At 48.3% G+C, this 12,053-nt stretch overlaps 1 protein-coding gene and 1 long non-coding RNA gene across 4 annotated transcripts in view; one reads left to right on the forward strand and one right to left on the reverse strand.

The window, feature by feature from the left end:
• AGAP1 (ArfGAP with GTPase domain, ankyrin repeat and PH domain 1) overlaps positions 1-12,053 on the forward strand; it is a 637,751-nt gene that overhangs the window by 19,224 nt on the left and 606,474 nt on the right. The gene's annotated exons all lie outside the window — the stretch shown is intronic.
• On the reverse strand, positions 474-4,655 carry TNRC17 (trinucleotide repeat containing 17). The gene has a single exon (NR_146582.1). It is a non-coding gene; the product is annotated as a trinucleotide repeat containing 17 (long non-coding RNA).

Here is a 12,053-nt window from a genome sequence, read left to right on the forward strand (position 1 = left end):
TCCCAACACTTTGGGAGGCTGAGGCGGGCAGATTGCTTGAAGTCAGGAGTTAGAGACCAGCATGGCCAACATGGTGAAACCCCGTCTCTACTAAAAATACAAAAATTAGCCAGTAGTGGTGGCAGGCGCCTATAATCCCAGCTATTTGGGAGGTTGAGGCAGGAGAATCCCTTGAACCCAGGAGGCAGAGGTCGCAGCGAACTGAGATCGCGCCACTGTACTCCAGCCTGGGCGGCAGAGCAAGACTCCGTCTCAGAAAAAAAAAAAAAAAAAAAAAAAAAGAAATGCAGATCACTGGGCTCCACCCCCAGAAGTTCTGATTCAGTGGGTGGCGGGTGAGGCCTGGGAACTTCATGACGAGCCCCCTGGCAAGGCTGCTGCTGCCATTTTGGTGCCACACTTTGGGTACTATGGCTTTGGGCACTCCCAATCCAGGTGCCATGGCATGGGGAGCAGTGGGTGAACCAAATCCTGGAGCCTGGACTGTTCCATTGGGTGCATTTCTGGCTGGCAGATAGAGGACCACCCAGCTGTGCTTGATGGGGTCTAGAAGCATTGAAACTGGTTTGCCGTTATGATGTCCATGAGGTTGGAGTCCTTTCTTAGTTAAAAAATCTGAAGACCCAACAACACACAGCACCCCCACGCTGAACCCTCCCGAGAATGATTGAGCTCTTCCAAATAAAGGGCGATTTTGTAGCTTTTCAAGTTTTAACAGTTTGATAACTCCCAGGCTCCTGTTGAGATGCTTTGTGATGAGGTTGTGCGTTCCCCTGTATCTTTCCTGTGGGTGTTTATGTGTACAGAACACATGTATCTGTATTTACGTGACTGAGCACAGGCGATTTCCCCGAGTCTCACCTTGGTGTGTGCCAGTGCATGCGCGTGCGCGCGCGCACACACACACACACACACACATACCTCCTCTCAGAGAATGTTGATGTGGCAATTCATGTTTGACAGCTGGGTTAACCCATAAATAGATCCCAAAATATAAATTTACCCAGACCTCAACCTGCTTAAGCCTTTAAATAGCTCACTAGGGCTTTTAGAATGAAGTTGAAATTCCTTGGCCTCACCCTTAAGCCTTTTTAGAAGGAGTCATGGAGGAAGTAAAGAAATGGAAATGGAGTTGCCTCGCTGGGCTCCCAGGCCCTTTGCCGTGGCCCTGCCTGCTCTCCAGCCTGGTCTCACCCCACCTGTGGCACCTTCGCTGTGGAGGATACCGTCAGCCAGGCTCACAGTTCCTGGCAGGCCACTTCCTCTGTCTGGGGCCCTGCCTGGGGGTTTGGATCACCTGAGTCCTGCCCCTTGGCAAGCCTCTTTTAACCCACCTGATGCCTTCACAACCCAGCTCAGGAGTCCTGCTTCCCCAAGGCCATTCCGATGGCTCCTGCTGGCGATTCCAGGGCCTGCCACCTGGTGGCCTGTGCACTTTGCTGTGACGTGGGCTGCACGTCTCTCCCCAGCATGGGCTCAAGGTGCTCAGGAACCAAACCCCGGTGTCTCATCCAGGACTGGACACGTGGTGAGAGCTCCATGGAGCTTAACTGCATGAGGGAGGCGGGATGGACTCTGGCTTGTAGGGCACAGTCTGTGTAGCAACAAGGAACATACCTGGTGTTTAGATCAGATGTTCAATGACTCATGTCCCAGAGAAGGGGCCTGCAGCCGTATTGGTCAGTTGGGGAGCTTGTATACTCAGGCCATTGAGGTTGCCATGGCCACCATTTTGGGAATCTTTTCTTTGGGAGTTGCCATCAGAATTTAGGGCATTAAAAAAGTCCTTAAATTTAGGTAATGTTTGCCTTAAGCAGATGGTCTTTGCCTTTTAGAACTGTCAGAACTTGTTTACCCTTCAAGCTGGGCACTGTGGTAAGTTGACTCTTTGGGTCCTTGGTTGGAAACATGAGAATCCCATTCTGGCTGACTCAAGCAGACATGGATTTTATTCGAAGGATGTGGGGGTGGCTTTGAGCATAGAGGCGTTGGGATGGACTGAACCATGGGCCCAGGGGACAGGCACAGGCTGCCTGTGTATTTAGGGCACTGCTTGGGTTGCCTGGAGAGTGGTTTATTGGCCCAGATTCTGCCACTTCTTGGCCAGGGGAGGCCTTTCATGGACAGCCTCATCAGAGTGGCAGCAGAGAGAAGAGCAGGGCAGGTCCTCAAAGGAACACTGAAAAGGTTCTCTGAAAGACAGGGGCGTAGATACTGAGCTGGCAATAACAGCGCTGATCCACTGGAATGGGGAAGGGCCTCGAGCTGTTCTGTCAACACGGAGTTGTTTGTCAGGCGTCATGGGTATCATTTTGTGCATCTGCCCTTGTTCAGTGTTTCCTTGTAATTTTGCGGAAAAAAGTCTGCTTAGTGTTGAACCAGACATTCTGCAGCCTTTAAAAGAGAATGGAAATGGAGAGATTGTAATGTGTTCATTGGTGACTTTTGACACGGATGCTAACCTGTAAGATGTGCAGATATATCATGTGCAAACTGTTAAGATGCTGTCAACATTTTGAATGACTTCTTGCAAATAGTAAGGAAATTAAACACGCACAGAGCTGGGCAAATGCTAGAGGATGGTGTTGCCTTTTGCATCTTGGTGGGAAAGAGATATTTAAGGGGGTGAGGGGAGCTCAGCAACAGCGACTTAAGGGCCTGCTAGGAGCGGGGAGAAGTTGGTTGCTGGGGTGTGCGGCCTCTGTAGCCCAGTCCTCCGAGTATCGTGACAGGTGGCTGGGTGCCTCAGTGCTCAGGTATGGGCTCCTGTTCCTGCCGCATGGGCTCCTCTGCTGCTGCTGCTGCTGCTGCTGCTGCTGCTGCTGCTGGCCCGCCAGTTCCCATGGACTCTCCCTCACCTGTGCTTCCTTCTGCTCCCCGACTTCATGGTTGGAACGTGCTGTCTTCCCATCCCTCTGGGCACGTGGCTCCTCTTTTACATGCATGCCTGGCGAATAGTATATCCCCAGTAAATGCTTGCAGAATGAATGTCTTTCCTGAATGTTCTGCTCTGCTCCCCAGCCCCCAGAAATAAAACAGAAATGCTGTACTCCTTCCCTGTCTCAGGCCCAGGAGCATTATTATTATTTTTTTTAAATCTCTTGTGGCACTTTTCTACTTTCTCCTCCACAGTACAGCTGCTTGTTGAGAGGCAGTATATGTCATGTCTAAGAAGAGTCCTCAAGTGAAGTCTGGTGCAGCTTCTTTCTAGCTGTGTGCTTTCAGGAAAGCCTTTTGAATTTGGAGCCTCTGTTTCCTCTAGCTTTACTCCAAAGGAAACAAGTGTAAGTGCTTGGCACCTGCAGCCTGAGCGTAGTTCATGCCGCCCGTATTCCTGGCCAGCCTCCGTTCTCTGGGACCCGGCAGGAATGTGTTTGTCGCCTCTGGCCCTGTGCACCCTGGCTTCCCATCATACCTGGAGACCCTGGGACAAATGCCTGTGGAGTGGATGAGTGAGTGCATGCGGGTCCACTCAGCTCCCCGGCAGGCTTCAGAATCTTCCCTGTATTCTGGAAGTAAGTGGCGTCGCTGCCCAGTTTAGGAGAGTGCCATGTGGGACTCTGTTCCATCAGCTGGGTTGGTGCAGTGGGACTGAACTTTCTTCTTTGGTTGCCCTCTGCAAACAGCCATGCAGATGTTATTGATGGGCAGTTGCAGGTAGAAGCATTTTTGGCCCTACAGGGTAGATCTGCCAGCATGGCAGGCTGATCAGCCACGGGTGCCACGTGGCTCTGGAGGGGCTTGGCGCCTACGTTAGTCAGCTCGGGCTGCCACGACAAAATACCACAGACTGGGAGGCCCAAACGTATTTTCTCACAGTTCTGGAGGTTGAGAGTCCATGATCAAGGCACTGGCAGGTTTGGCTTCTTCCCATTCTGTGCCTCACCTGGTCTTTTCCGTGTGTGTGGTCTTCAGTGTTTTTCCGTTCTCAGGAGGACACCAGTCTTGTTGGATGAGGGTCCCACCCTTAAGCTGCCATATTACCATGATTGCCTCCTTAAAGACCTTATCTCCAGCGACAGTCACCTTGGGGTGTGAGCCTCTGCAGAGGAATTTGGGGGATACTGCGCAGTCCGTACAGCATCCCTCCCTCCCTGGTGGTTTCTGAGGATTTGTCACTGATGTAGTAGCATCACGAGTGTTTCGTCACTTAACCCAGAGCAGGGCTTTGACGACATAGCTGTGCCCAACGTAGATCTTTATGGTAATTTTATTTTAATTGAGGTCGCAGGGACTAATTTTTACTGGAAAGAAGTAGCAGCCATGAGGCAGGAGATCCTCTTTACTTTGTAAAAAAATGTAAAAGAACTTGTTTAGATCAAAGTCATGTTTTTAAAATATAAACTAGATTATGAAAAAAATTAAAACTTGATTTAAAAAGAAGCCTGGGCCAGATGCAGTGGCTCACACCTGTAATCCCAGCACTCTGGGAGGCCGAGGCAGACAGATCACTTGAGGTCAGGAGTTCGAGACCAGCCTGGCCAACATGGTGAAACCCCGTTTCTACTAAAAATACAAAAATTAGTCAGACATGGTGGCGTGTGCCTGTAACCCCAGCTACACGGGAGGCTGAGGCAGGAGAATCTCTTGAACCCGGGAAGTGTTGGAGTGAGCCAAGATTGTGCCTCTGCACTCCAGCCTGGGTGACAGAGTGAGACTCCGTTTCAAAAAAAAAAAAAAAGAAAAAAAAAAGGTAGAACTCATAGTTGCCATTGAGGTCTGAGTCCCGGCTTGCCTCAGTTGGGGTTCTTGCCCCCATTTGCAGGTGAGAGGTGGAAGCTCAGGCAGGCCCAGCCTCCGAAGGTGCAGCGCAGGGACCCTAACCTGAGAGCTGGAAATGCTTTCTTAGAGAAAGTGCATAAGGGCTGTGCCCATCTCTCCTTTGCCCGAAGACGACTGTTCTGCTGCATTGGTTTCACTGTGTTGTTTCTGTAACTCTGGTGTTTAATCCACGTGAAGACAGTGGAGCTGTTTACACTGTTTGATTGATTGGATGCTTATCAGGAATCTCAAAACCCAGCTTTGGGCAACCAGATGCCTTTGACTTCTCTTTCTCCTCCACTGACAGTGATCTCTGAATGCTTTTATAAAGGTTTTTCATAAAGAATATAAAAAGTGACAGAAATAAAATTGGCAATCAACCAAATTCCTTACCTCTCAAATTGCCTCTTCTGAGACTTTTTGTGATGATGCGTGTGCCCCACCCTGCAATTGGTTTCATAGAAATTCCTTGGATTTCCTCTGTTTCTGACAAAGAGCCAGGGCGGAAGCTGCAGGTCACTGGGTGCCAGCTGTTTCCCACCGTCAGCCTTGGGAGGGGCACGGAGCTTTGCAAATGTCTCTTCAGCTGGTGTTTTCTGCCATAGGACAAAGAGAAAGGAGAGTGACATGGTGTTTTGAATATTTTAGTAAGAAAACAGTCTCCACCTGCACACAAACAAAAAAAATTAATGCTTGGATATAACTTTTTTAATCCTCAAAGTAATAATAACTTTCTATCTCATAAGCCAGAGGGATGGTGGCATAGCTAACAGCAGCTGCATGTCCTCAGGTTAAACTTCACATCTTGACTGGCAGGCTTGCCTCGCGGGTGCACTTCGTGAATGCCCGCTGCTCCTGCAGCGGAAGAGTCTCCTGTCCTTGGGCCTCAGTGGCAGGGGCAGCAACAGGAGGCTGCGGCCAGTTGGCTTCACACTGTTTGGGAACAGCAGAAGGGTCAGAGCAGACCTCAACATTATCTGAAACGAGTACTATTCACAACAGCAATTTGCAGGTTATGTGACAAGAATCATATCATTTGGTGTGTGTGTATGTGTTTATTTATGAGACAGGGTCTCACTCTGTTGCCCAGGGTGGAGTACAGTGCCACAATCGTAGCTCACCATAACCTCAAACTCCTGGGCTCAAGCAATCCTCCCACCTCAGCCTCCCAGGTAGCTAGGACTACAGGCGCACACCACCACACCTGGCTAATTCTTTATTATTTTTGTAGAGACAGGCAGGGTCTTGCTGTGTTGCCCAGGCTGGTCTTGAATGCCTCAAGTGATCCTCCCACTATGGCCTCCCGAGTTGCTGGGGTTACAGTCATGAGCCACCGCACATGGCCCTAGTTTATATTTATTAATTGGTTTAATCCTCCCAGGAATTTGAAGATATAATTCCTGATATATAGGTGTCAGAATTTGAGACTAAGAGTATTGAGTGATAATTCATTTCTCACCTCTCTGGAAGAAGGTGTAATAAGCATAGAAAATACAGAATTTTCTATATACTGATATAACACATATTTTCTTGTGTGTATGTGTATATGTGTTGTGTGTGCATAGTGAACAAAGGCAGAAGAAACATTTAGGCTTGAATTTTTTGAGCTAAGTATTATTTTCTAGAGCTTACCAAAAAATCCAAACACACATATATGTATGTAGAATAAGCGTAATGATCTCCTGTGTACCCTCAACCAGCTTCAGTAATTAGTTCATCCTGTATATACCCTGCCACCTACCAATATTATTATTATCATTATTTATTTTTTTGAGACGGAGTCTTGCTCTTGTGGCCCAGGCTCGAGTGCAATGGCATGATCTCAGTTCACTGCAACCTCCACCTCCTGGGTTCAAGCGATTCTCCTGCCTCAGCCTCCTGAGTAGCTGGGATTACAGGTGCCCACCACCACACCTGGCTAATTTTTTTGTATTTTTAATAGGGATGGGGTTTCACCATGTCCAGGCTGGTTTCGAACTACTGACCTCAGGTGATTCGCCTGCCTCGGCCTCCCAATGTGCTGGGATTATAGGCATGAGCCACCAGGCCCGGCCTCAATATTATTTTGAAGTGAATTCCAGACACCCTGCCATTTCATCCGTAAATACTTCAGTATCTATCTCTAAAAGATGAAAACTTAAAGCACACATGACCACATTACCACACTTTAGAAAATGAACAGTTCCTTAATATGGTCAAATATCCAGTCTGTGCCCACATTTCCAGTTGTCTCATGATTACCATAACTTTTCCCTTCAGTTTGCCTGTTGGAATCAGGATCAAATACTGTGTGCACGTTGCAGTTGGTGGAGACTTCTTCTGAAACTCCTCCAATGAGTAGGTTCCATGACCGTCTTTCTCTCCTTCCCGGGGCCTGTGTTTGTTTCGAATGCCTCCCCTTGGAGTCAGTCAGCGTGCTCCTTTGTCTCCTGTATTTTCCTATAAATTAGTGGGTGTTTGGAGGCTTGTTTAGGTTTTTAGCTTTTGTTTGGTTTGGTTGGACTCCTTTCTGGGCGGGTCTGTGTGGTTCATCAGGAGGATCCCACCTTCTATTTGTCCTTTTGCCCACGTTAGCAGTCGGGACCAGTTAGCTCGTCAGAGGTTGCAAAATGATGATTTTATAATTCTCTCATTATTTTTTTTGCTGTTATTTGTTTAAGATGAGATAATTCTATGAAGAGTACCTTTCGGGTCATGTAGGAAAGGCAAGATAACCCTCTTTATTTACTAATCGTAAAAATAACAAGTTTTGGTTTAGTAGACTCCGTTTAAAATTGACTAATTAGTTTTAGATCATTGTGAACTCTCTGGATTAAATGTACATGGTGCATTGCGGTGAAAGCTGTTATGGATGCTCCAGTGATCCCATCTTCTGCGTGTGGAAGCATTTCAGGAAGCCTTCTGTGTTCTCTTGACATGACATTGACCACTTCCTGGATTTCTGATGTCACAGGAAAGATAAAGATGGACAGATGCCCCAGGCTCATGTGGTACATTGGTCATCTCTCTAGCAGTCACGGTTCTCAGGGACACGAACATAATTCCTCATTTGCTTTGGGCTTCCCCATACAATTCTCAGAAGACAGCTCCAGCAGAGCTTCCAACAGTGTGACCACCAGAATGAGTTCAACGTGCTGCAAATTGCTTTTCCTCTTTAGGGTGTATCTCACTTTCGGTGATAAACTCCAGTTATTGTGTTTTAAATCACATGGAATTGGTCTTCTCTGTGACTCTTCTATCCTGGTGGAGGTGTACTTAGATACATTTCTTTATTTTCAATTTTTAGGGAAATAGTTATATAACTAGTTAACATATTTGTGTGGAACCAATGTCACATCATCAAAATAAATTCTAAGAGTCCTGGCTTTGATTCTTAAAGATAAATTCAAAGACTCTCTCTTTGTCACTTTTTCACCTTGTCGTCTTCTCTTCACCTATAACTATTTTTTAATAAGTATTGTTTATACTTGTCTCTTTTAAATATAAGCAAATACATGCGAATGGGTACTTATATAACCTCCTGCTTGGATACAGGTAGCTTCCCATGCACTGTTTTTCGTTTGCCTTTTTAACTTAGGAACATGTTCTGGAAACCACTCCATAGTGTGGGCTCCAGAACAGGCCTCATTGTGAAACTGTTCCCAATTTATTAACAGGTCTCTTATTAATAGACGTTGGGATCGATCCAGTTTCTTGTTTTTGTTTGTTATATATATGTGTGTGTGTGTGTGTGTGTGTGTGTGTGTGTGTGTGTTGCTATTGAAAAATAGTGCTGTATAGTCTACGTCTATCTTTTTCTTATTTCTTGTCAATGTATTTTTGGGATAGATGCCTAGAAAGGAGGATTGCTAAGTCAAAAGGGTAATGTGCATGTAGTTTCGCTAAAGGTTGCCAAATTCCCATCCATAATAAGTGTGCCACCAGCAATATACGTGAGTGCCTCTTTCCCAACAGGGTGCTGTCAAACTATTGGATGTTTGCCAGAGAGGCACAGCTTGGTTTTTGAATACATCGGATGTAATCAGGATGTGCAGTCTTTTTGGTTCCTAGAGGCTGACTGGGCTCTGAGAAGCATAGAACATTTCCTCAAGAGGCTTAGAGTCTGTTTAGGGGTGATGAGGCTTCCTGGCAGTTCCTTAAACGTCAGTAAACATTGTTCGTGTGCCCGACCTGGGCCAGGCTCTGTTAGAAGCTGGAGCTGTGGACAGGGAGTCCAGATGGACTGGTGAGAATGTCACGTCGGTTGAGGATTTGAATAGGCCACTGGTTTTGGTAAAAAGGTGGTAAGGAGTGGGCACATTGGACTTAGACCTCCTGGGCTTCTGTCTGTACCAGCTCTGAGGTACCTCTCCTCCGTAAGACGCTCAGCCTCTCTGTATCTGTGGGGTCTTGATAATACCAATCTCATGGTTCATAGGAGGCGTGATGGTGGTGATGGTGGAAGTGAGGAAGGAGAGGACGCAAGAGAATGGGAGACACCCTGGAGAAGCCAAGCTGGGGAGGGAAGGAAGACGGCTCATGAGGAAGGCCAGGTTTTTGGTTGGGAGAGACTTGAGCTTGATGAGTGTTTGGACAATACTGGCCCTGATGAGGGAGCGATTGCAGGGACGGGGTGATGCCGATGAAGAGGCTGGCCACAAGGCAGAGGGGAGGCTGAAAGTTGTGTGAAGATGGCTGAGTGGGAAAGACAAGCAAGATGGGAGTAAGGGAGGATGTCTTGGCCTTTGTGCCTGAGCCTGTTTTCTCTGCAAGGCTGGAAAGCTGACCTTTATGGTGATATCTGTTTGGTACTGTTAGAGCGATTTGTCCTGCATTTCTGGGCAACCTGTGGGCAGAAGAGGAGAAGGATAGATCCTTCTGATATCTCCTGGGTTTGGCAGTTGGCATGGTGGATGTCATGTGGGTGACATGCCACCAGGATGTCTTAGCTGGGGCTACTGTAGCAAAACACCTAAGACTGAGTGGCTTCAACAATAGTCGTTTATGTCTCGCAGTTCTGGCGGTTGGGAGTCCAAGATGAGGGAGCCAGTGAGGGCAGGCTCCGGTGAGGGCTCTCTTCCTGGCTTACACACGGCTGCCTTCTCGCTGTGGCCTCTCATGGTGGAGAGAGAGAGAGAAAGGCTGGTCTCTTCCTCTTCCTGTAAGGACACTGATCCCATCATGCTCCTCACGGCCATGACCTCATCTAAACCTGATCACCTCCCAGAGGCCCCACTTCCTCATGACATCACAGTGGGGTTTAGGGCTTCAGCATACAGATTCAGGGGGACACATGCATTCAGCCCATAACAGGGTGAGGGTGCAGTTCTTCAGCTGGAGCCCCAGGAGGCTCTTGGGGAGAAAATGTTTCCTTCCCTGTGGGGATCTAGGCTTTGCTCACCTGTGCTGCATGGTGATTGTTGTGAATTTTGAAAGGGACTGCTTCCCATCGGTGCCTGAGTCAAGGCCTAGGACTTGATGGATGGTGCCTGGCAGGGTCAGCTGCTTGGTGCAGGTTCCTGTGCCCATGTCATGGTACGTGCTGTCCGCTAAGCTCCCTCCCAGCCCTTAGTGGTCCTCACTGTGAAAAGCTGATTTTGAGTAAGGCTTTATCCCACCCAGGGATGAAATGGCAGGTGTTACCAGTCAGGGAGTGGGGTGGGAATGGGTGTCTGCAGGGGAGGCTGCACAGACATGGCGGGGGGTGGTGGCCAGTGGTCAGGTGGCCTTGGGTCGAAAGGCCGACTGACCACCGTGTGACCTGGCCAGGGTGTGGGATTGCATCTGCTTCCCTGCCCTTCCAGTGGGAGTGACCCTGCTTGGACGTAGCAGGGGGACGGTGGTCTTGGATTGAATGGCTCACTCACCACCCTGTGACCTGACCAGGGTATGGGATTGCAGCGTGCCTCCTCATCCCTCCAGTAGGGATGACCCTGCACGGATGAGGCCGGGGGCGGTGGCCTTGGGTTGAATGGCCCACTCACCACCCTGTGACCTGGCCAGGGTGTGGGATTGTGCCCGGCTTCCCCATCCTTCCAGTGGGGATGACGACAGGCATTTGCTGAGTTCCATGGGACTGTGGAAAGGGCTGTGTCACTGTAGACGCTCCATCGGAAATGCTGATGTGTATTCTTACCACGGGCGTCCGTGGGCCACCATTGTCTCCTGGCATCTGGCTGTCCTTGGAACCCAGCAACACCCAGGGACTTGGGCTGTGATCAGAAGTCCTGCCCAGAGCGAGTAGGGTCACGCCAGAGTGAGGCTGGGGACAGCATGGTCCACTGTGGCCCAGATGTAACTTTTAGTCCTGCCTTCTTATCCGGTTTGGCAGGAACAGGACAGGGTGGTTAGCAGGCCACAGTGTGGTGGGAGTGAAAGTGTACTGTCCTGTGTGATATTTTTGCACAGCCTGACAGTGGGGGCAAGTTTAGAGCCTTTGAGCTGAGAATCTGGAGAGAGCAGTGGATGCGATGGGCAGTTGCTTGTCCTTGCTGTGAGAAGACAGGCCACGGGGCTGCACCCAGCCCCCATGGGTAAGTATAACCCCCACCCCACTACTGCCCGCCCACCATGCCTTCCCCACATGGATGAGTTGCTCCCTCCTATAAAGTAGGAAAACATGCTTACCGCTGGAGAGGATGCCTAACAACAGCTCCTGCTGCCCAGCGAGGAAGGGACCCTGTGTCCAAGAGAAAACCTGATGGCAGGTAACACATCACCCCTCTCTTTTAGGGACCTCGTCCCTTTCTTTTAGGGAACTCATTGGCTTGTCTTGGACCCAAACATAATTAGTGGGGGTAGGGGTGAGGAGAGAAACTCTTCAGTGAACAGATGTCTTCTTGGGCCGATTGTTGGATATTGCTCACCAGCTAGTTATTAAATTCTAGAAAAACTAATTCTTTGTGCAGATTCTAGGTAAAATGTCTCTGTTGCAAAATAGGATTTTTCAATTAAGAAAAGCTTTAAAATATATCATGTGTTCCTCCTTAGTCTGCAGAATCTGAATGTCACCTTAAAATGTCAGGGTTAAATTTCTTACGGTTAGTACATGAGGCAGGCGTGAAATTTACAACAGAAAATTGAGATTGATTACTTTCATTTACTTTCTCTTTTTTGGGGCAGTAACTGTTTAATGTTAAATTTGTATTGTATGTCGGTGCCTCTTTTGAAACTGGAGATATTGATATGATCTTAAGCAAATGTCTCCAATACGAGAAAAAGAGGACTGATTTATAAAGTGGAGGACTGACACATAATGTGGAGGACTGATACATAATGTGGAGGACTGATACATAATGTGGAGGACTGATACA

Source organism: Homo sapiens, chromosome 2, assembly GCF_000001405.40.
Source record: "Homo sapiens chromosome 2, GRCh38.p14 Primary Assembly".
Classification (NCBI taxonomy): domain Eukaryota; kingdom Metazoa; phylum Chordata; class Mammalia; order Primates; family Hominidae; genus Homo; species Homo sapiens.